General features: G+C 36.8%; 2 long non-coding RNA genes across 2 annotated transcripts in view; one reads left to right on the top strand and one right to left on the bottom strand.

Moving 5' to 3' along the window:
* The window catches only part of LINC01098 (long intergenic non-protein coding RNA 1098), a 261,994-nt gene that overhangs the window by 17,149 nt on the left and 218,464 nt on the right, over positions 1-26,381 (top strand).
* LOC105377560 (uncharacterized) lies at positions 10,478-13,011 on the bottom strand. Its single transcript, XR_939511.2, has 3 exons — positions 12,270-13,011; positions 10,839-10,969; positions 10,478-10,511 (listed from the first exon to the last, which is right to left on the bottom strand). It is a non-coding gene; the product is annotated as an uncharacterized LOC105377560 (long non-coding RNA).

Here is a 26,381-nt window from a genome sequence, read left to right on the forward strand (position 1 = left end):
ATCCACCTCCTTGTTCCTATAACGTGACCACCCCTCATCTAGCATATTTTCATTCATCTTGACTCCTTTGCCAGTACAAACAACCTAACCAAATAATAATACTGAATTACAATAAATTGCCAAGAAATATATTATTTCCCTGAGTTATTTTAAAAATTCTCATAACCTTATGAAGTTGGCATCATAATTATGTCATTTTTTCAGAAGATGAAATAAAGCTTACAGGAAATGATATATAAAAATTCCACAAATTACATGAACAGCAAGTGGAAGAGTTAAACCTGGGAACCTGAACGGAGCCAGTCTAATTCCATAGCTTTTCACTGACATGCTATATTGCAACTCCCTGTTCCTTGTGAAGAAATCCGTAACTCATCTTGGGTTTCTGGTGTGTTATTATCATTCATATTCTCTCTCATTTCTTTATTACCCATTGTTTCTTTCATCCTTTATAATTTCGTCTTATTTTTCAAAATTTTGCTGAAACTACAAACCTCCCAAATTTCTGCTTTCTCATTACCAACTTAGCCTCATTCTTTTTGGCTTTATTCAAATGACATCAGATACAATTAACCAGGTTAGCCTCTTAAACGTCTCTCCTTCATTTTGACAGCAGCATATTAAACTATTTCTCTTTCCTTTTTCATAGTGCTTGTATTTCTCATATGCTGGCTCTAACTACAAGTATTTCTGTGTTTTATCTTTGATCATCTTTTTGGTAATCCATTTTAATAGCTTCAGCTCTTGTTTCTAAGATGATAATGCCTTATTTTTAATTGAGAGTCTTAAATTCTCATTGGATGTCTGTTCTAATATTTTGAATTGTCTGATGTTGACTTCCACTGGGACACTTCTCTACTGTATTCCAAGGCTCATCTAAGAGGAAGATTTTTTCATAAAGAAGGCAGTTGCTCCAGCACTTTGCTGCCAGATTAATAGACACAAGACAGCATTCTCAACATCTCTCTTCCCTCTTAAGAGCAACAAAAACAAAAATAAACAATAAATATTTACTCTTTATATACTTGTCTGGATTTTCAGACCTAGTTTAATGTGACATTTACTTATCAATCCCTCTTCACAATACTTCCTCTTATTGCATTCCTGTGTTCTCCCATGCCCCATGTTTTCCTTTCTTTTTCCTTTTTTCTCTCATCTCATTGTCCAAAAATACATCATCTTCACTGCCCATAATTTTACTCTTTTTTTTGTTTGTCATGGTGTTTATTATTCTTCCTACTTATCCAAGTTTTTGTAAATTGCATTGGCAAAAGTGAAAACCAATATCCTCCATTAAGCGGACTACTTCTCTGCCGCCTCTTCATGGCTTTTGAATTATTAAATTGTCCTGGAATACTTGTTTGACTCTTAGTATAAGAGTGCATGTTAACATTTGTTAAATTTGCATGTGTGTTATTCATTAGTTCTCTTATGGTGACAACCATTTTTTTCTTTCCTATTCCTCCTATAACGCAGCAGTGCTAAGCACACAATATGCATTCCAGTAAACACTCATTTTGATGAATTCTTGGTCATCAAATACATGTTTTGTTTCTCAGAAAACTAAATGGGGAGTTAGCTCTTATTCTATGTGATGTTGTGACAAGAATTCTTTTTAAAAGTGACATGTTGGTTACATAACTCCTAAGTTCTTCAATGAATTCTGATGACTTTTTACTTAAAAACCCAATGAATTATAATTATTCAGATATTCTAGAAATACTTTGTACAAGGCTTACTTCTCAACCACAAATTAGACATGCATAAATATGAATTTGAATGACACCCATTTAACCTACCTTTTCTGTAAGGTTACTACTTTAAGCCATTCATTTATTTGTGACTAGCTACCACTTAGCTGCCATATAATAGCATTTATATACACTGTCCTCGTTCTACTGTCTTTTATCCTTCACATACCCTTGGTTGCATGGCATCAGAGACTTACCGTTACATAGCTGCAGTGGCTTATTCGTGTAACTCTGTTACCTATGGCGTTTTGTATTAATTTGTATTCATTTTTGTCAATAGGAAGATAATTTAAGACAAAAATGAAGCTTTGCTTTTCTCTAAATGCCCTGTGGGTATATTATAGTCCATCCAAAGATATTTCTGATTATATAACTGCATTTATTGAGTATAACCTTAGCCTGACAGTGAAAGAGTGTTTTCACCATGTGCAAGAGGCCATTTGTCAAAACTGACCTTTTCTGTGAAACGGCTACAATTATTAGTTGATCCAAGTGTCAAAGCTCCATCATAAGATAAGGAAGTCAGCTAGGAAATTTTTTCTCATTTGATAATAGGTTTCCAAAAGAGTTAGAGATGGATTTGATGTTTCTGTCTAGGGTTGAAAACCTAGCCTGAAATGTGCTCGAAACAATTTAGATAGCCATCTTTGTTGAACTGAGTTACACATCACAATTTTGGTCTTCTTACAGATTGTTCATAAAGTACACTCTGAGCAATATCTTATTTTCATTTATGTTTTAACTCTAACACATAAGCAATATACAAGAAAAGCTTTATAAAATAAACAAAACTTCTCTATATGATACATTGTTTTACAGAATGTGATTTTAAGCAACAGATGACAATGAAGTCTTATGAAACTCAGATACAGATATAACATGGATGTTATATTAATGACAATTTATAATTTACTGTAAAATAAAGTGCCATAGTTCTATAAACAAGATAAATAGTATAAATAAAAATTAATAAGCATGAGAAATTCAAAACCAATAAGAAAAACTTCATCAGGAAAACTTTCAATGGGACTAACAAGACAAATTTCTTCATTTAACAGACTATAGACATCCTTCTACGTATCAGCACAATGCTTAGATGTAGATGGTATGCCAAGATTGTGAGGGCTTGCACAGATTTTATAGAATTAAAACATAATCACATGAAATAGAAGTGTTAAAATAAAACTTTTTGATTGGAAATAGAAAGTGTCAAAATGACACTCTCAAGTACAAAAAAAATGGAACAATGGGAAAATAAAGAAGCAGAAAGGGAGAAATTTTTAAAAGGCAAAACAAAAGAATTTTACATAAAATTCATGAAGTGTGGTAGGCCTCAAGCTTACTTCCATGATAAAAATGTCCCGGCAAGAAACTAATGTGCCTTGTAATGGCTAGTGTAGCATTAAGTCAGCCATAGGGAGAGCTAAAAATGACCTTGCTAAATCCATCTTTTTGCTGTAGAAGATGTCACCTTGAAGTTAAGAATAGAAATATGAACATCATAGATACATGTTAATTATGGGTTTGTCTACATGAAGATACCAAATGATACAGAAATAAGTATATTGGAATAAAATTGGCATGAGTAAATTTCTAAATGCCAGTAATTTTTAAAAATTAAGTTTTATTTTTAACTGACAAATTGTATACATTTATGGAATATGATGTGATGTTTCAACACATGTTACATTGTAAAATGATCAAATAAGGCTAATTAGCATATCAGTCACCTCAAATATTTATCATTTCTTGGTGCTGAGAACACTTAAGATCCTCTCTTTCAGTTATTTTGAAAAATGTAATTATTAACTATAGTCATCCTGCTGTGCAGTAGAACACCAGAATTTATTCCTGACATCTAATTGAAACTTTGTATTCATTGGCCAATGTTTCCCCATTTCTCTGTCAACACCCCTCTACCCTCACCCACCTCTGGTAATCACCATTCTACTCTCTATCAGTTCAACTTTTTATATTCCACATATAGGTGAGATTATATTGTATTTATATCCCTATGCCTGGCTTATTTTACTGAACATAATGTCTTCTAGGTTTATACATGTTGCAAATGACAGAATTTCCTTTTTTAAGGCTGAATAGTATTCCATTGTGTATATATGTCATATTTTAAAAATCTATTTGTTGATGGACACTTAGATTGCTTTCAAATGCTGGTTATTAGGATTAATGCTGTAATAAGCATGAGAGTACAGATATCTCTTCAGCATACTGGTCTTAATTCGTTTAGGTATATATGCCCAGGAGTGAGATTGCTGGATAGTTGAGTAATTCTATTTTAAGATTTTTGAGGAATCTCCATACTGGTTTTCAAAATGGCTGTACTAATTTACAATACCGAAAGCAGTGTGTAAGTATTCCCCTTTCTCCATAGCCTCACTAACACTTATCTATCATCTCTTTGATAATAAGTGATCTAATAGGTGTGAGGTGATTTCTCATTGTGATTTTAATTTGCATTTCTCTAATGATTATAGATGGTGAACAAATTTTCATATATCTGTTGGCCATTTGTATGTATTCCTTTGGAAAATGTGTATTCAGGTCCTTTGCCCGTTTTTAATAGGGTTATTTGTTTTCTTGTTGTTGAATAGTTTGAGTTCCTTGCATTATATAATCTGGGTATTAGCCCCTTATCCAATGTACGATTTGTAACTATTTTCTCCCAGTGTGTGGGTGGTCTCTTCATTCTGTTGTTTCTTTTGCTGGGCAGAAGCTTTTTGGTTTGATTCAATTACATTTGCCTGTGTTTTGCTTTTCTTGCCTGTGCTTGTGGGGTCATATCTAAGAAATCACTGTGCAGGCCAATGTCAGAAGTCAGCGAGCTATTTGTCTATATTTTCTTCTAGTAATTTTATAGTTTCAAGTCTTTAAGTATTCAATCCATTTTGAGTTGATTTTTGTATAAGGGGTGAAATAAAGGTTCATTTTTATTCTTTATATGGATATCCATTTTTCCAGCCTCATCTATTTAAGACTGTCTCTTCCCAATTGTGTGTTCTTGGCACCATTGAAAACCAATTGACTGTAGATACTTGGGCTTATTTTGGGGCTCTCTATCATATTTGTTTGTTCAATATATCAATTCTTATTTTGTCAGTACCATGCGGTTTTGATTAATATAGCTTTATAATATATTTTGAAATCAGGTAGTATGATGCCTCCAGCTTTGTTACTTTTGATCAAGATTGCTTTTTGGCTACTTGGGATCTTTTGTGGTTTCATGTAAATTTTAGGATTTCTTTTCTATTTCTGTGAAGAATGACATTAGAATTTTGATAGAAATTATATTAAATTTGTTGATTGCTTGAAGTATGAATCTTAACATTCTTCCAATCCACGGACAAGGGATATCTTTCCATTTATTTGCGTTATCGTCAATTCCTTTCATCTGTGTTGTATATAGATCTTTCACTTCCTTGGTTAAGTTTACTTCTAGCTTTTGGTGTATTGTAAATGGAATTATTTTCTTTTTCAGACAGTTTCTTCATGTATAGAAATGCTACTGACTTTTATAAGTTGATTTTTGCATCCTGCAACTTTACTGAATTTCTCAGTTCTAAAACTTTTCTTGTGGAGTCTAGACTTTTCTAAGTATAAGATCATGTCATCTGTGAACAAGGCTAATTTGATTTCTTCCTTTCTATTTTTGGATGTTCTTTATTTATCTTTCTTGCCTAATTGCTCAGGCTAGGACTTCCAGTAATATGCTGAATAGCAGTGGCAAAAATGGAATCCTTATCTTCCTGATCTTAGAGATAAAGCCGTCAACTTTTCACTGAGTATGATGTCACTGTGGGCTTGTCACATATGGCTTTTATTGTGTTGAGGAATATTCCTTGTATACTTAATTCATTGAGAGTTGTTATGGTGAAAATATGTTAAATTTTGTCAAATGCATTTTCTACATCTATTGAGATGATATGGTCCTTCAATCTGGTAATATAGTGAATTACTGTATTAGTCCATTTTCAGGCTGCTGATAAAGACATACCTGAAACTGGGCAATGGATAACTTATTAAAAGAAAGAGGTTTAATGGACTTATAGTTCCACATGGCTGAGGAGGTCTCCCAATTATGGCAGAAGGCAAGAAGGAGCAAGTCACATGTTGCATGGATGGCAGCAGGCAAAGAGAATGAGAACTTGTGCCGGGAAACTCCCATTCTTAAAACCATCAGATCTCATGAGACATATTTACTATCACAAGAAACAGCATAGGAAAGATCCACCCTCATGATTCAATTATCTCCCACCTGGTCCCTACCACAACCTGGTAATTATGAGAGCTACAAAATGAGATTTGAGTGGGGACACAGAGCCAAATGATATCAATTACATTTATTGATTTGCATATGTTGAATCAACCTTGCATCCCACGGACAAATCACTTGATCATGGTGAATAATCCTTTTAATGTACTAAATACTGTTTATCAGTATTTTATTGAAGATTTTTATATCTGTGTTCATCAGTGATATTGGCCCATAGTTTATTTTTCATGTAATGTCTTTATCTGGTTTTGGTATGAGGGTAATGCTAGCTTTGTAAAAGGAGTTTAGAAGTATTTCCTCTTTTATACATTTTTGGAAGAATTTGAGAAGAATTTGTATTAGTTTTTCTTTAAATGATTGGTAGAGATCAGCTGTGAAGCCATCTGGTCCTGAGCTTTTCTTTGGTGGAATAATTTTAATTACTGATTCAATCTTCTTACTTATTATGGTCTGTTCAGACTTGAAAATAAAAATGGAAACATAACATACCCAAACTAATGGGATGCAGTAAAAGCAGTTGTAAGAGGGAAGTTTATAGCAGTAAATGCTTACATCAAAAAAGAAAGATCTCTAATAATCCAACATTACACCTCAAGGAACTAGAAAAAGAACAAACTTAGCCCAAAGTTAGCAGAAGAAAAAGAGATCAGAGCAGTCATAAATAAGGGACTAGAAAAACAAAAGATAAATGAAGAGTTGTTTCTTTTTAAAAGTGAAACAAAATTGATTAAAAACTTATAGTTAGACCTAGAAAAAGACAAGACTCAAAATGAGAAATGAAAGAAGAGACATTAGGACTGATAACACAGAAATACCAAAGATCATAAGAGACTTTTGTGAACAGTTATACACTAACAAATTAGACAACTTAAAAAATGGATAAATTCCTAGAAATATTAAACCTATCAAGACTGAATCATGAATATTGGAAATCTGAACAAATTGTTGATCTAATCCCTCCCTTCAAGGATGCTGTGTCTTATTTTTTTTGAGGCAGGGTCTCACTCTATTGCCCAGGCCAGAAGGCCAGAGTGCGCTGGCACAGTTTTGGCTCACTGCAGCCTGGACCTCCCCAGGCTCAAGTGATCCTCTCATCTCAGCCTCCTGAGTAGCTGGGACTACAGGCATGTGACACTATGCCTGAATAACTTTTGTATTTTTTGTAGAGACAGGATTTTGCCATGTGAAGGCTGTTACCCTGAAAAGTCATCTCTCCCTAGTTTTTGCTTTGAATGGTACAGTAAATCATCTAAATCTTCTGCAAACTGAAGCTGAAGGATAATCATAATAATCAATGGATAACTTATGATTATTCCATGACCTGTACACATTTTGTTTGAAAATATTAAGCACTCCTTCAATGTCACTTATAAATGAATAGAAAAATGAAAAATGGTTTAGTAATTATCTATACTGTAATTTGAAGCATTGGTAACACTAAGAACTAATGTGTTTTATTTCATTGTAAAAAACCTACCAGGAGTAGTTTTGAGTAGTGTTTGCCTTTTTCTCATTGCATAGCTTACAATATGAAGCAAACATCTTTGCCTACACAAATTGTCATACTCCTTTCTGAGTTTGCATCAGCTTTCAACATTTTATCTTTTGTGCCTTCAATGTTGTATAATATCTGAATTCCTTTAACAAGAAGCTTTTCTCCCAATTTTCTTCCTTTTAATAATAATCACTTTCCTTACTTATATGTAAGTTCACCTTTATGGCATTTTTTTCTGGCTGCAAGTCTAGAGTCTCTTGAACAACAGCTGTGTCAAAATTTCCACCGTGTATTTCTTCCACTTTCAATTTCTGTTTGAATCTTTAGCCAGTTCTTCTTTTCAATTATGCAGTTTTGTAAAGATGTTCAGTTTATCACTGGGAGTAAAGGAGGCAACACAACTACAAGCTTTACTGTCTGTGCATGAACTAAATAACAGATGTACAGTGAGGAGCCACCAGTAGACTTTGAAGTAATTCGTGTGGTCATGGATCATGATGCACATGTTGTTTATGTAGTAGTTTTCATGCTAAAGAGCTAGCAGCAAAGTTTATACTTCATGCAATTACAGTTAACATAACTATACAGTTAACACAACTATGCTAACTGAAATTTAAACTGTTAGGTAAACCACAGTAACTTAGGTTCAAGCATATATTGAAGCTATGCAAAGTACAGACTGCCTCTGTGTGTGTGTGTGTGTGTGTGTGTGTGTGTGTGTGTATGCAATTTTGTATGCTCTCTTGTATTGTTTGGCTTACGCATGTCTATCTTCTTGTAAGCCTCAAATATTCTGTCCCTCTCTCTCAGAATGTAACCTTAAAAGCTGCATAGTTGTTTTAAAAACACCTCTAAATGCCCATAGTTTCCTCTGAATCAACTTTTGACATCTCCACACTCCTTGTGATGTTGTCATATGATGATTTTAGGATTTTCCTATAATAGTCTCTAAAGATATTTTATACTCCCCTTTTGAAGAGTACCTTTTGCTGGAGGAAAAGATATGGAAAGTTGGGCAATTGGGGCACAGTGAGTCATTTGACTCACACAGATATGAAAAGTCTCAAATTAAGCTGTAACTTCATCTTTAAATGCTCTTATTTGTACAATCTGAATATACACAGACAAGATTTAGATAATATTACTATTTTTATTTTACCAAACATGTTCGTTTTCAGACTAAGCTATCTGTAATATACCATTAAACCCATATTTATTAAAAATATTTCAATTTTAATGTTTTGTTAAAATGTAATGTACAGACATACCAATGTGTATGCTTCATATAGAATGTGTATATATGCTCTTACTACATACATATTACATTATGCCAACAGCAGCAATTTAAGTATACAATTTCAAATACATAAAATTCATTTGGTTATTTTGGCATCATTTAAAAATCTTGGGTACTCACAAAAGGAAGAGGCTCTAGGTTTCTTTTCTGAAGGTGTCTTTACTAACACAAACCTCTTAGTGTCATAGAATTGCAGAGCTGGAGGAGATCATGGATTATTTGTATACATCTTTCACTTTATCAATGAGAAAATGGGAAATCAAAAAAGATAAGTGAAACAAAATGAAAGTGGGATCATATTTTCTCAACTCCACGTAGTAAAAATACCTCTGTGATGTTTATAATCTGTAAATTAGACTTTGTGTTTATCGTTTAATTCTCACAATAAACCTCTGAAGTCAGGCGGCAGGAATTAACGCATCTGTACCAATAGAAAACAGATTTAAAGGAGTCAAATGTCTTCCCTGAGGTGACACAGCTGGCGGGTGGAGAACTCCTGACGCTCTCATCTCCTCATTGTGGAGCCCAGGCTTTATCTGTTACCCACCCGTGGCTTTTGTAATGGAAATGGAAACAGTGTCCATGCATAGGTGTAGAATCTCATTTACAGAAACAACGACATAAAGCATTGAGTGATTTTCTGCATAAGCCTTTGGCAACCTTGATGTTTTTTTTTTTTTTTCCTAAGGTTGGCAGGTGTTATCACTTTAATCTGCAAAATATAATTTGCTTAGAACCACTTTTAATTCAGGGTTAGGCCAAAAGCTTCCTGTATTCATATAGAGTGAAATGATTACTAACTCTGAATGCAGACTGTATTCCTTTTAAATCATTCGTGTACTGTTAATGCTTTGCATGTAGAGCAGTCTAGGTGGGCTCAGAGCTCAGTTATCCTGTGTCTCTTCCTTCCCACTTCTACCACTAACTTGTGTGGCAGTGCCTGCACTCATTGGTTGACTCCTCCAAAGGGCTCCTAAACATTATAGACAACTTTTCATTATGTTGCATGCATATATTCAGAATTTCCTTTCTACAAAAATATGTGTTATCTAGGTAAGAAAGATAGATATGCTAACACAGATCACATACATTTGTTAAGGAATTAAAAATGGTATTAAACCAAGTACGTACAATATCTATCCTTACTTAAATATCTTGTTTTTTTGAGTTCTCTGTATTGGTACTATGAATATAAATCAGCCATCCTAAAATAAGAGGATGCTTATTATAAAATGGTGACATTTCTAAAGCAGTGATAACTGCTATCTAAGTTACACCTGTGATTTCTCCAGTGCATCTTTCATGCTCAACTACCCTGTATACGAGGCTTAGATGGTTAAAATCTTTGTGCAGAAAATTACATTGTCTATAGCAAATTTGATGTGATAAGTGAATCATAAAAGTAACTTTGAGACCAGATGTGATGGCTCACGCCTATAATATTCCCAGCACTTGGGAGGCCAAGGCGAGTGCATCACCTGAGTTCCAGACCAGCCTGGCATGGTGAAACCCCATTTCTACTTAAAATACAAAAATTAGCTGGGCATGGTGGTGGTCACCTGTAATCCCAGCTACTTGGAGGCTGAGGCAGGAGAATTGCTTGAACCCAGGAGGCAGAGGTTGCAGTGAGCTGAGATCACACCATTGTACTCTAGCCTGGTCAACAGGAGCAAAACTCTGTCTCAAAAAAATAAAAAAATAACTTTGATCCTTTTGTCAAGACATAATAAAACCAGTGGTAAACTTAATGGAGTAAACATTTGCAGGTATGTTTGTGGTATTAAAGTATTTGCGTTAAAATGCCAGGATGAGTATTTTACATAGACCTTTTCCAGTAACAATATACAATCAACAATTTTCCCTTTGTTCATCATAATTATAAAAGGTCAAATAATTATACTTTTTCTGTAAATGGTAACTAATTTCAATAGAATTTATAAGTGTTTCCAATTTTTATGAAACTTTCTAAGATTCACTATTTAGAAATATTTCACTTAAACTTACCTGAATTAAGTTTGGCAAATCATGATTTGTCAAGCAGTCCGTTGGGATAATACTGGACAGGTTATCTTTACTCCAGCATGGTTTGGTCACCCTCTCTTACATTAATGTCTTGAAATTCCACTCGGAGTTAGCTGTATGTAACAAGCAATTCGTTTAAGGTGAGGATCCTTACTTAAACATGTCTGAGGTTTGCGTATTTCCTAGAGGCTCACGTTAAATCCCTCCAAGTCTAATGACCTTGCCACCTGCTTCCTCACAGAAAACTAACATTTACATTTGTAAGGTTAAATCAAATATATAACGGGAAAAGTAGGAGGAATAACTATTATAAATCAAAGAAACATATTATAGGTTTTCTCATCTTCCCTGACAACTTAAACTTTCGTATAATGATCACATCAAGAACAATATCTAATCATGAGTTGTCTGCATATTGAGGTTGACAATTTCAGTTAGTGTGACAAACTGAAATAATTGTTTTACATAACACATAGGCTTTTAAAAAATGAGATTATTCTGGGTTATGATCTCAAGAAATATGTTATACTATTCCTGCCACCATAGCTTCCACACTCTGTAAAGAGATCCGAAATATGCTGTAATAGTATGGCACCAAGCTGGTGAGATATTTTGGATAAGATAAACAAGTGCAATTGAATAGATTCATTTATTTTTGATAAAATTCTAAGCAATGTCCGTTGTGAGGAAATATGATTTAAGAAAAATAGACTTGTAAATGTATTTAAGCGTAGTTAATAAATGAAAGAACACAGAACAACTTTTCTCTCACAATTGTAATTAACTAACTAATTAATTTGTTTGTTTGAGACAGAGTCTCGCTCTGTTGCCCAGGCCGGAATGCAGTGGCACAATCTCAGCTCACTACAACCTCTTCCTCCCCGGTTCAAGTGATTCTTCTGCCTCAGACCCCTAAGTAGCTGGGACTACGGGTGCATATCACCGCGCCTGGCTAATTTTTGTATTTTTAGTAGAGACAGGGTTTTCCCATGTTGGCCAGACTGGTCTTAAACTCCTGGCCTCAGGTGATCCATCTGCCTTGGCCTCCCAAAGTGCTGGGATTACAGGTATGAGCCACTGTGCCCAGCTGTATCTCACAATTTGAAATAGTTTCTAAATGTAATTGTTTTTCCCTGAATCTCCTGTTCCCCGCAAACACCCTCATCTTGTTATAACTCTGTGCCTGGGCCTTTGGGTTTACAAATCTCAGTAAGAGTCCATCAAACCTCTCTAAGGCATTGGGGATTTTAAAAATATCCTCATCTTCTCAATTTTATTAATTTGCATAGAGTGCTTACAGTTTCCTTTTGAATAATTGCATTTCTATGACAAATGTAAACAATTTGCTATACCATGTCTTACTTGCTTTCCTGGAGAAGATAACTAGCAATTTAGTATAATTTTCATTCTCACCATAGTTTGTGTGATCTTCTGTTTTTGGAATTCTAGACATTTGATGTTAATATGAGGCCAGGTTATCTTTATTCCAGCAGGGTTTGCTCACTCTCTCTCAAATGTCTCATCTCACATCCACCCTGCACTTTGAGCTACATTGACTGTTGTTGGTTGAGAGAGTTGACATGGCTACTCAGCATCCTTCTGGGAGGCAGGTAAACTGTTGTCCCCTGTTAGAATTAGCAATGGTATAGGTTGATTTATTTTCTTCATTGTAAGGCATTCTAATTCAACTAGTTCAATTTAAATTATAGTCAACATTAACAGAATGATTTCATGGAATCTCAAAGGACTTTACACAATTAAATCTGCTCATAGTGAATCAGTTCCTATTGTATTAACAGCAAATGACTTCTTTTACCAGAAGTTGCATTCTAGGGCAGCAGGTCCCATAACCTTAAAAGTGGGGAAAAATGTTTTTGGCACTTTGTGATATCATCATATTCCAAGATATACCAGAAAAATCAGGATGACAAATGGTTTTCTCTCTTCAATGGCATTTATAAATTTCAGCCACATTATTATTTTTATCTTATCTATCTTCAGCTATCGGCTTATCCAGCTGCCTAGACTTCTCCTTATAAATCCATACCTTCATTCTTTAAGTGATTTTTAAAAAATAGACTTTTCTTGTTTAATTCCAGAAGAACCAGATCCTAGCTTTCTAATGGCATATTTCTCTAAACACATAAAAAGATTTATATTCTATAGCTTAATTATAGTGAAGAAAGTAGTTTTCATCAAAAGAACTTGGTTAAAACAATATATTTATGGTCTTAAGTATGGCTAGATTTGGAATGTGTTAAGAGTTACCACGGTATCAGTCTGAGAAATGTTACTGAGTGATGCTATGAGGATTGGTGTTTTGACCTACACAATACTTGATGCTTTAGAGCAGTGGTCCCAGCCTTTTTGGTGCCAGGGACTGGTTTCATTGAAGGCAATTTTTCCATGGACCTGGGGGGTGAAGGCTTCAGGATGAAACTGTCACTTCAGATTATCAGGCATTAGTTAGATTCTCATAAAGAGCACTCAACCTAGATCCCTTTCGTGTGCAGTTCACAATGCAGTTTGGGCTTCTATGAGAATCTAATGCTGTTGCTGATCTGACAAGGGGCAGAACTCAGGTGGTAACGCTTGCTCTCTGCTCACCTCCTGCCTTGTGGCCTAGTTACTAACAGGCCACGAACCTGTACCTATCTGTGGCCCAGGGATTTGGGACTCCTTTTTTAGAGTTAAGAGTGAAGCATATTCTCAAAAGATATTTGCAGTATAAGGGGATATAATGGTGTGTTAGGATAGTATGATGGCAAAATAGCTACTATCATGATAAATTAGAATAAAAGTCCTGCAATATTCAATCGTGAGTGTTATGAAATAATAGAGAAGCAATACCAACTTGTATTTGAGACAGTGAAAAATTATACCTTTTTAAACCTAAAGAGTCTTATTTAAGGAATTATCTCTACATATTTTCCACAATTCTTTTTTTTTTAAGAGCTAGGGTCTTTCTCTGACTAGGCTGAAGTGCAGTGGCACACTCACAGCTCACCGAAATCTTGAATCTTGGGCCCAAGGTATCCTCCCACCACAACCTCCTGAGTAGTTGGAACTACAGGCATGCACCAGAATGCCCGGCTAATTTTTAAGTTTCTTGTAGAGACATGTCTTGCTATGTTGCTGCCTAGGCTGATTTCAAATGTTTGGCCTCATGTGATCCTCCCTCCACAACCTCCCAAAGTGCTGGGATTATAGGCGTGAATCACTTTGCCCAGCCTAACCACAATTCTAATCTAGTTAAGAATAATTTGGAGTCAGACTGTTGGAGTTTTTATCCTTGTGGTACCACTGAGGGCACTGGATAAGGTATTTTGTATTCCTGTTTCATAATTTCCTCATCTACAAAATGAGGATTAAAATCGTATTTCATAAAGACACTATAAATTATATGTGAGAGCATATATGTAAGCCATTACATAGCACGAGCTCACAAACTTTAGCTAAAATTCCTTTCATTATTGCTATGTGCAAATCTGAGGAATCCAAAATTGAAAACAACAGCAACAACAGAAAATACTGTTCTTTTCCAAAAAAGGAAACCTGCCAACTTACAGATTATACAAGATAGTGAATAGAAAGAATGTATTTTATAGTGACTGAAATTCGAAATCTGTGCTTGGGTGTTACAGCAAATTTAGATGATCGAAAGCTCTCAGATTAGAACTCTGCAGATTTATTTCAGTCCAGATATTTGATATTGCTTGAAGCAGTTGTTTTTGTGGTTCATAATTTTCACTAAATCAAACCTTAATTAAAAAGTTTCTGCCTGGAGACGCTTCCTTTGAATTCCTAGGCGAGGCTCAGTAGGACTGTTGCCTGTTTGTGACAATATTAAATGTCAGGCTGACAAATGTCAGCTCAACAGATGGGTAATTGTATACATTAACCCTACTAATGGACAGATGTGTTTTAGCATAAATTGTAATATAATCTGTGACTAAAACCATAGCTCATATAGGAATAATCCTATTTACAAATGATAATGTTAACATATAATACACATTTATACAGTACTAGTTCAATAATACCATTATACATAATTATGTATGAGCACTTCTTAATACTAGGAACTCTACATTAAACATAGGTGTCTTAGTTGCATTGCTGAAAGAGTCTGAGAGAAGGGCCACAGTTCTTATTTGAGACGTGACTCCAACAAGTAGGAGAGAAGAAGCAGGGAAGGATGAGAATGTGATCAGTGTCATCCTAGTAGGCACCAGGGATTGAATTTTGCAGGGCCGTCAGAGAAGCATGTAGAATACTCCTTAGAATTGCCTGCAGGCCGTGGCATTTGTCCAGTGGCAGCTTTTCCGTGTCGGTTGAGGGTGGTCTCCAGTGCTGCTGATTATCCCTCACTTCTATAATGCATTTGTGTCGGCCCAGTCAGAATCTCAGACTGAAGATGACTCTACAACAGAAATCTGAAAGTGGTTGGAAAGGCGATGGCAGTGGAACACTAATTTTGAGGGCCAGTAGACAAGTAATTCTCCACTTTGGCTGTGGATAAAATTGGAGGGGCCCAAGGGAATGAGGAGGGGCAGCAATAGCATCTTCTGTTCTGCCTTTGTTTTGCCTGCCCTTGGTATTGCTCAGATCTCTCACTAAGTCTACTCCATTACCAAGCCTGTAAGATGGTGGCCAGCCACAATTTATTAGACTTCTTATGGGAAGTGTGTGCAACAAGCTTGAGTCCTCATTGTTGCAGTTGGTTCAGGGGCAATAAACAGTATATCTCTTTTCTGATCACCCATGCTGGATTTCCCTCCCTCTTGCCCAACAGTTCAGTTTGCTAGTGAATGCAAGGCTGAAATGGAAGAATGCAATCCTGAATTTTATCTCTGGGGGATTTGACCTCCTGTCAGGTCATGAATGCTGTAATTTGCCTTTCACTGCTGTCAGTAAGCATAGAAACACCAACAGACGCCCCGGGGACTTCTCCAGGTTCCAGGCTACTTATCCCCAGCAGGTAGTCACACGACCCTAGAAACTCATGACATTCAGGTCCGCTACGATCACCAGCGTAATCTGTGCCTATAACAGGTTCGGTAGTAAGAAGCCACAGTTGGCATCTAAGACTTGCTCAGAAGGAGCCTGTGCTGTTTTGCCCATGCGTCGTCTCTGTCTCCATCGCCAGGACAGATTCCTTTGTGGGTCCACAGCACCAGAACCAGGATGGCCGAGGAAAGGGGCTGGCTGAAAGCCTCAACAAATCATCTCGTCCACCACACATTTGACAGCCTCATCTGTGCAGAATCCTTTCTGATGGACACTGACACAAGACACAGAGATTCTCATACTTTGTAGTTTATCTCAAACGCCCATCCACATATTTGTTCCACAAACCTCCTGGTTTACCATCGTAATCTTGCTATTTTGAAGACCACGTCCAAACAGCGAAGACATTTGCCTCTGCCTAGGAGTTCACATACACCTTTATGTTAGGCTAATTCTGCCTCTATACAAAGTCATCTGAGGGTAAAAAAATGTGGCATTAAACTTTGTTGAGTAGGATTTTCTAATCATCACCTTTAATGCCACCTGTGAGTCTGTAGTAGTTTACTAGTGTAAAACATTAAGCTGTACTGTCTCCCATGTATGAGCCAGATAGGAGGTCCTCCTGCCCCGTATGCTAGTCACAGGGGACCTCTTTAATGACACAGGTTGTGCTAAGAAAGGAGCCTTGGTTCAAGAGTTCAGAGGCATAGAAGTTCTCTGTATCCTCTTTACTGACTTTAAGACTTTGTAAGACATTTGATTCATCTTAAGCCTGATCACCAATGTGTACTGTGACCATTGCATGAAGGATTTGTGCTGTACCCAACTGATCTTATGACTTGAAGATCTGATGATACTCACCTCATCATGGGAAGCTCTGATCTTAGTCACTGATGTCCCATGATCAGATGCTAACTCATCATGAAGACCCCGTGGCATGAAAGGAGCCATTTACCAAAGGCATCTTTCTCTGCCACAAAGAGCATGGCCTTGCTCTAAAATCCTAGCAGTTTGTACTGTGACTCTCCTATAAGGCCCTGCCAGAGACTTTTCAGTGCATCTTTATTTACTGTGGCTACCTATGGCAGCATTGACTTTTCCAGGTCACATAGCTCAAATGGCAGGGGTTTTGCAGCATAGTCTAGACCTGATAGAGTCCTCTCTTGTTCTGGGACCCACTTGAAACTGACAGCCTTATGAACCAACCCATAATTGAGTCATAGTATTTTCAAGGGTGGCATAGGCTGCCGCTAAAATCCTTGAGGGGCCTGTCAAAGCACTGGAGCTCTTGCTTTTTAATAGGGAGCTCAAGGTATACTAACTTGTCCTTTACATTGGAGGTGCTGTCTTAAACTGTCCCAGGTCATTGGACCTCTGAAAACTTCACCAATATAAAAGGCCTTGCCGCTATTCCTTGGTCCAGTTTCCATACACTGTGCCAGCATGAAGCTCTATAGAATAAGATGTCAAGTCTGTAGAATAAGATGGCCGAGGAAAGGGGCTGGTTGAAAGAGAGGCAAGACTGTGAATGTGTACTGCTGCCCTTTCCACATAAAAGCAAACTGCTTTTGGACGAGGCTTGAACAGACTGTATTCATTATATCAATAGCTATATACTGAGTTCCAGAAGTTGCGTTGATCTATTTTAATAAAATATTACTTCCAGCACATGGCTGTAATAAGGGATTCTACTTGAAGTTTCTTTTACTTTCCTGTCATCTGCCATAATTTCATTTATAAAGGGACCATAAATGTTAATTCAATAGTAATATATTAGTAATTAAAATGCTATCATATTTTAAGTCTGAGGATGGGATTAAACTTTATAAAGCCACCTGATACAGTATTGCTTATGATTTATTAGGCTGGAGGGTGGAAGTTTTAGGGGCTTCTATTTGGTCCTTCCTGCTATAGTGATTCTTTTAGGGTCAACATATCAAGTGAGGTTTTGATAACTGCCAAGTGTATTCATTCCAGTTATACATTAGGGGACGTTTGATTCACTCAGACCCATTGGACCTACTTGCTTAACTGTAGTAAGATAGAATACTTGGGCTACTATGTATGTCATTTATCTACTCGATTCCATCAAACCTCTTTTTTTTTATTTTTTTCTAGACAGAGTCTTGCTCTGTCTGCAGGCTGGAGTGCAGTGGCGCTATTTGGGCTCACTGCAACCTCTGCCTCCCGGGTTCAAGCAATTCTCCTGCCTCAGCCTCCTGAGTAGCTGGGACTACAGGTGTCCGTCACCACACCCAGCTAGTTTTTTGTATTTTTTGTAGATATGGGGTTTCACCATGTTGGCCAGGATGGTCTCGACCTACTGACCTTGTGATCTGCCTGCCTCAGCCTCCCTAAGTGCTGGGATTACAAGCGTGAGCCACCACGCCCAGCCTCATCAAACCCCATTCTAACCAGGGTGCTACTATGGATTTTGGGAGGCGTGGGGAAGGAAAGAGGTCCTATAATGTATTGGCTTTCTATTTCTGTGACACAGATTTTCACAAACTTAGTGACATAAAACATTATAAGCATTATCTTACTATTCTGTAGGTCAGAAGCCTGCACATGGCATGATTAGGTTTTCTGTTGAGGGTTTCACAAGGCTGAGGTCAAGGCATCAGTTGGATTGTGTTCCCATCTAAGGCTGGAGGCAACTATTGGTCCTATCAGTTTGCTCTTTCTTCCAAGCTCACTTGTAATTAGCAGAATCCATTTTCTAGCAGCTGTATCACTGAGATCTGTTTTCTTTTATTGCTGTTAGAAGGAGACCATGCTCCATTCCTAGGAGACAATCTCAAGTCCTAGCTGCATGACTCCCTTTAAGGACTCTTTCACAATATGCACCTATTTCTTCCAAGCCAGCAGTAGAATTTCTATCATGCTTCCAATTTCCTTTTTTAAGAAAGGTCCAGACCTTTTTTAGGGCCTACCTGATTAGGCTAGGCCTACTCTGGATAATTATCCTTAAGATTGATTTAGGAATCTTGGTCATAGCTACACAATTTCTTTAACTTGTCACATGAGATAACCCAACTGTGCAAGCAAAATCCATACGCCCAGTCCCAACCACTCTCATGAGGAAGGATTACAGATTATGTCTACGATGGGGCAACAATCTTGAAAGCCTTCCTATAATTTTTTCGCCTACTACACCCAATATTGTTACCAGCTCAGACACTGTATTATGCAGCCTTATGAAAAGTTTGTGTATTTCCCTTATAAGAGACTACAATAACTCAGATAAATGGCTGCAGGTCCCATTGGAGAAAGACTCACTACTCACATTACAAAGACCAGTTTATTGGTGCTATCGTCTACTGAGCAATATAGGAAAGTCATAAATATTTTGGTGATATCGCTCTTTTCGCCAGTGCTGTATTGTGCAACTAATGGAATGGAAATGATTTTGAGGATGATTAAAACTAACAGCATAGCAAGAAACTTGTCATTGGTGTTTCTAATTTCTATATGGAATTATAGAATGGTAGATGACACTTCTTGCTGTGGTCTGAAAACAAGAAGTCAAGGTACATACATGCAAATACTCCTGTACATGTTATACCTTTAGCTGTGTAACAATGAGCAAGTTATATTTCCTCCTAAGTACAATTTATCTTCAAAATGAAGTGTCTTTCGGATGTTAATCTTCAATGATTCCAACACACGTGGTGTTTTCTCTTAACTTCTTGGCACCCGATATGTTCCTACTCCGTAACTCCCCATTTATTTGAAGATAGACAAGTGTTTTCTACTTGAGCCACAGAGTTTGACTTATAGTTATAGAATTATACCCCATTAAGTCAATTGGGCAGGAATTTCTATTAAAGCAAGGTAATTTTCTGATGTTTTTTCTGCAGGTCTAGAAAATAGATATTCAGCTACAATGTATAATAACGACAATGGACTTAATTATAGCTGACATGGTTGTAAAGAACAGAGAGAAAGCTCTAACCATTCTAGATGCTCATGGACTTTATATCTCAAGTCTGTGGATTCTGGCTTAGTGAGCTATTTGGGATAGGTAAGCAAAACAGTATGCTTTTGAAAGGCAAATTTTCCCAGAACAAAATTTTATCTGACAATGCAATTATCTAGAGACTTAGTTGACTGCAGACATATTGACATTATATGTCCACATTTAGAGATGTACGAAGCCTTGTGAAATCACCTTTAACTGTGTCATCATTTATGCCCTGGGAAGTCAGCTATTAATAAGGTAAATGCTGCATCTCAAAATGGAGATTCTCAGTTGTGTAGCTGTGGCTAGTTACTCAGGTGGGTCTCAGAACAGACTTAATGAAACCAAGATTTCAGATCATTTTGTTCTGCTCAGTTCCATGACTAAAGTCTGCCCTTATTAGGTGCAACCCAGGAGATCATGGGTTATTCTGTGAAAATTCATCACGATTACAAGTGGGGGAAATAAAACAAAAGAGAAAAATTCCTGTTTCCAACGGTTAATGGGGTCATCTCCATCAATAAAAGTATGCATTCGGGCTCTCTAGAGAAACAGAACAATAGAAGACAAATACAGTTTTGAGAGGGGATTTATATGGGGAACTGGCTCACATTACTATGGAGGCTGAGAAGTCACAATAGGCTGTCTGCAAGCTGGAGAATCAGGAAAGCCAGTAGCATGGCCCAGTCCAAGTCTTACTGAACTTATGTAGTGATCTTATTTTACTGCTTCTCCAGGATAATATGTCCTTCATACCACATACTGTATGCGGAGTATTTATTATTACTTGAGTACACTTCCTTGGAAAGGACATCAGGGGTTTCATAAAGGCCTCAGAACCAGGGGTGCTAACAGTGTAACTCTCAATTTGAGGTCAAAGTCCTGATGTATTAGGGTTCTCCAGAGGGACAGAACTGATAGGATATATGTATATATGAAAGGGAAGTTTTTTTGGGGGGAGAATTGGCTCACGCGATTACAAGGCGAAGTCCGACAATAGGCCATCTGCAAGCTGTGGAAGAGAGAAGCTGGTCATTGCTCAGTCTAAATTTGAAAGCCTCGAACCCAGGGAAGCTGAAAGAGCAGGCTTCAGTCTGTGGCCGAAGGCCCCAGAGCCCCCGGGAAGCCACTGGTACAAGTCCTAGGGTCCAAAGGCTAAAGAACCTGGAGTGTGATGTCTGAGGACAGGAGGCGTGAAAGCAAGCATCCAGCATGGAAGAAGAAAGAAGGCAGCCAGAAGCCTCAGCAAGCAATTGTCTTCACTTCCACCTGCTTTGTTCTTGCTGCGCTGGCAGCCAATCGAATAGTGCCCACCCACAATGGGGGTGGGTCTTCCTTTCCCAGTCAACCAACTCAGGTGTCAATCTCCTCTAGCAACACCCTCACAGATGCACCCAGAAACAATACCGGCCACCTAGGCATCACTCAATCCAATCAAGTTGACACCTAATATGAACCATCACACCTGAAAACCTGGGGGGGCCTCTGGTGCAAGTCCTGGTATCTGGAGGTTGCAGTGCCTGAGCTCCTGATGTCTAAGGGCAGGAGAATATGGGCATTCCAGCTCCAGAAGAAGAAATGTACCTTTCCTCTGTCATTTTGTTCTGTCCAGGCCCTTCGCCAATTGGATGGTGCCTACCCACATGGGGTGAGGGCGGATCTGTCTTACTTAGTTCACTGATTCAAATGCCAATCCTATCTGGAAACACCCTCACAGAGGTACCCAGACATAATGTTTTACCAGCTGTCTCAGTATGCCTTAATCCTGTCAAGTTGATACCTAAAATTAACCATCAGAGTATACAATATTTTTTTACGTTTTTGATAATTGGAATCTTAAATACTATTTGTTTTCAAGTTGTATACTACATACTGTAACATAAGTCATCTTTCAAATGAAATACTTTCTGTAAATCTTACTGCTTTATGCATCTGTATGTTAAACTGTGTAATACATTTATTATCTCATAAAATTTATTCACTGCATGGTTCATTTTTTTAATTTATGCAATCTTGTGTTGTCACCAAACTTAAGTAGTTTTAATTGATAATTTCACAAAGTAGCTATGAAGTGCAATAAGGATGTTGGAGATACCTGAGTTTGTTTTTTCTTCCCCTTTTCTGCTGTTCCTTTTAATTAAAGATCCATAGTAATTTTTTTTCCAAACTAAGCCCCCTGGCTTGATAATTCACATTTTTGCATAAAATTGTATGTTTTTTGCTTTTTCTTGAAATATGTGTACATTACACATAAGTTTTATTGGCTTACAATATCAAAATCGGAGTATAGAGCTATGTTGAGTCTCCTAACTTATGCTGTTAAAAAGTACAGTGCCGTTTTGCAACGTCGAGTCCCGGCCTTTCTGCTTCCTATGGGTTGGTAGCTTTATATATTATTTAGATTCATTTTTCAACATTGATATTGCATTGGGCACCTTCCAGTCTTTGCTGATTTCGCCTGCAGTGTTCTATTAAGTATTTTTGCTAAGAGTTGTTCAGTCTGTGTTCTGGTTTCTCTTAAATTCTGAAAATTCCAAAATGATATTCTACTGAACCAAGGTGATTACATGCTTTGAATGGATCTAGTGACATATTTGTTTGTCAATTTACGGTACAAAGAGAAAATTTAAACTAAATTTTTTTCCCCGATGTATGAGATTTTAGGAAATGCACCTTTTCAGATTTCTCAATTGACAGTTACAAACAATCAGAATGTTGAAGAATTATAACCACAGTCATCATCTGCGGTTGTTCCCCCTTGCTGCCTTGAGGAATACCCTGCATTTGTACATGTTTCTCCTCACCTCAAAGTTGGAAGTGTGTGAATGTTTTATCACAAACTGAGGTGATGAAGCCGAGTTCTGGTGAGGAAGCTTGTATATCATAAAGAATACAAAACTGGAAATAATATAGTACTGGGTTTAATCTGGACTGGGCTATTTTACAACAGCTGACATTGACAATTTAACTTCTTCTAGGTTTATTCTTCTTATTGATAAAATAGGCTAATATCTACCCTAATGGCTTTTGGAGGATGAAAGGAGACATTTTTTGCACCTAGTGGATCTTACACTGCCTACCACATGGTAGGTATTCTTAAAATGGTTGTTTTCCCTCTCTATCCAACACAGTCAACTCATGGAAGAGTTGCTCACTAATATTACCATGAACTCATTCTGGTAGAGATTGTGCCAAATGTACTTGTAAGCTAGTGTAGCAGTCTAAGGAGCCTGCTTCCAGCTTTTATATTGATAACATTTCTTGCTATCAACTTTCTTTGGTTCTGAAATGTGAGCCTAAGCCTCAATTCTATGTACCTATGTAGGCTTCAGTTCATTTTTTCCAGCTTAACTGGACACATGAGTTTTTCTTAGATTTAGACTGACCCAGGAAACTGCCTTGAATGACCATATACTATCCAGAGGTGAGACTGTGTGGGCAGGATGTCCACGTATCCCTGTTTCCAAGTTTATTTGAAATGATAGTGCTCCACTGGGAGAGTTCATAACGTTTCCTACCTTTATACTCTAGACATCTTCTTCACAGACACTACACATGTGCGGGGGTGTGCAGGTTGCACCGTCAATGAGAGTTTATGTAAAACACTTAAGAGACTTCAGTGTACTGGGCAGCTCAGCTGATTAGAGTTATGTTATGATCAAAGACAGTTCCTTGTTCTCAGTGTAGGAGGGGCTTAAAAACAATAGCCCTTCCTACCAAACCTGGTTGGAAACAAGAGCTTGTTTTGAAGCTGTGTTTGCATACTCATCTCTTTGACATTTAGGTTCTATATTTGCATAGTCTGAGGAATATGAAGTTAGAACTTCCTATTATCAAATCACCTCTTGGAGTGACTACTTAACAGTTTGCTCTACATTGTGCAAGTTTAGTTCTTATAGAGGAGCAGTGGAGGCATTCTTATTCACCTAGATCTTATTTAGTGGATCAAAGCCAACTGATTTATGCGGAGCTAGACAGACACAGAACCTTGAAAGCTGTTGCTGTTGCTTACTCTTAGCTGTTTGATGGTAATTAATATGACTGTCATTGCATATCATGTTGTCTTTGAATTCTGCCACTTTAATCTTTAAAATTATTTTTAGCTTTACTGGGTGTTTTTTTTGTGTGTGTGTGCTTCACATTGTTTTCTTTGGTCTTACAGACACTTAACAAGGCACATACTGCCTGTAATTAAACTGTGTGTTGTTTTTCATTTATGTATAGAAATTGATCTCTCCTACTTATCACTAACACATTTTATATGCACCTTAATTTTATTGTGCATATAAATCCACATCTGTGAATATATGCCACTCAACATCTATGGGAGGAATTATAGCTAAAATGTTTCTTATTTTCAGCAATGATTATAATTATTTCTTCTATCTTCTTCTGCCTTGCTGGCCATTTATTCTCTCTTTGTCTTTTAAAATTGTGTTCATTTACTTTTTTATGCCTGTAGAATTACATACTAAGGTGGAATAGTACATAGTATTAGCTCTACTAGTATATCTCCAATCTCATTTCCACTTCTTAATGGACTCCAGTCAATGTCTTGGTACTAAAAGCCTGTCACTACTTTCACTCTGGCCTTTTTATACTTTTTCATTTGCTTGTTTTATGGTATAGTTGCTCTTTTTTGTCAAGTGGTTTATAATATATTCTTCCAAGTGCCAAAGTTTACAATCTAAAACATCTATAACTTCACTTCATAATGACTTTCTACTACTATGTTTCTCATATATTACTTTTTGGAATAGCTAACAGAAATATGCATTTGATATAATTTCTATTTTTTTTGCTAACCCAACAAATACTGAAACATGCCCCCTATCAATTTCCTTATTACCCCTAGAGCTATCTTATATAAAAAGTTAGTATCTGGGAACAATGGCTGTAATGGAAATTTGAGGGATAAATCATTTTTAAAATCGTATTTTATAACAGTTTGACTTCTCCTTTCCCACCTACCAGACAGGGCATCACTCACACTCCAGCACTGCTATGAGTGTCTGACATGGTGTGGTAGGATATGGACTGCTCTTTCATGCAAGTGTATGCTTTGATTTGGTAGCAGTGGGTTTACACTAAAAGCATCATGACAACTTTAGTGTGGACCAAGATGCGTTCTCCTTGCTAATTCTTTTAGAGCCAGTCTGTGACAGTCATCCCAGAGCAATCTGCCATGATTTGGGGTCATTCTTGTTTTGGAAGACCTCCAGAGAGTTTGTTAATTATGAGGTTTACATAGAGGTTAAGTTCATTCAGTGTCTGGGGTAGTTCAAGAAACAATGATTCATCCAGAATATATGTACTACATGTGCTGCTAAATCCTATGGCCATGCTTACGCTTTAACCAGTATATTTTTAAAAGATGATTATTGCCACTACTGAAATGACTTCCATATAGTCAACTGAAATGACTTCTATACAGCTATCAAATATTTAATAGTGCATGGGAAGGAAATCTTTTTATTCATGGGTACTTGTTGAAGCTCTGTTCTTCAAGCTGCATGTTGACTTATCTGTTAAGTAAGCCTACTGTCACAAAGATGTCCCATGTCAGTGGGGTTTGTCCCTGATTCCCACTTTATTTAGGGGCTATACATTGGACACATCCAGACCCTTGTTACCACTGCTTCATTTCAGCTCATCCTAAATTGCTTAGGTGTCCTGCAGTCACCCCCTCCTCAGTCATTAACAGAATTAAGCTGCACAAAGCATGGCTTCATTGTCAGTGGATTGGATGTATTACAAAAGCTCATGGAGTTTTTTTTATTGTTTTCTGCCATTTAGTGATACATTTGGCTTTTAGGAAATACAGGTGAACCAATTCAAAAAGATTATTCAAATGCTATTGCTCAGTGTGTATACTACGATAAAGCTTTTTTAAATTAACCTCTGAAATAACAGCTTCAGCTTTACACAAAACTGTACACACATATTTAAGCGTAGGTAGTAAGAAGTTTCTGGATGTCTTTTGATGGAAGATACTTAAGCTACCTTTGGATTATACCTAGGTTTACATACAGGGAATATATCCAAGCAGATTATGTTGTCTGAGCTTTTTCCAGCTCTGTTTTCATTGTTTACACAGTATATATAAAGAAGACAGAAGCAGGAAGCACAAACATCTTTTTATGGGCAGAGTTGTCTGCATGGCAAAGAGGCTTGGACTATATCCCTTAGTAGTAGAGTGCCAAAACCATTTAAACCCTTGGATTTTTCCAATTCAAAATAATTTCTTCATGGAAAATAGATGACTAAGGAAAAGGAGGGAAAAAAGTAGTGAGAGGCAGAATATCTGATTTAAATATGTACAATATGAAAAATCAGGACTTTATAATGTAAATAATGTATTATACAAGTCAAATTAATTTTTTTCCATATTTCTGCATTTATGCCTCTAATGTGGATAAGTTTTTATCTTTTTAATCCAAATACATGTATTTGATTAAAATGCTCCAATGTGTATAATGCTCTGCTTTCCTTTTGGAGAATATACCTCTTTGCTTGCAAGTTATTAGTTGCAAACACCTGCTTAATTTTATTAT

This window comes from Homo sapiens, chromosome 4 (genome assembly GCF_000001405.40).
Source record: "Homo sapiens chromosome 4, GRCh38.p14 Primary Assembly".
Lineage (NCBI taxonomy): Eukaryota > Metazoa > Chordata > Mammalia > Primates > Hominidae > Homo > Homo sapiens.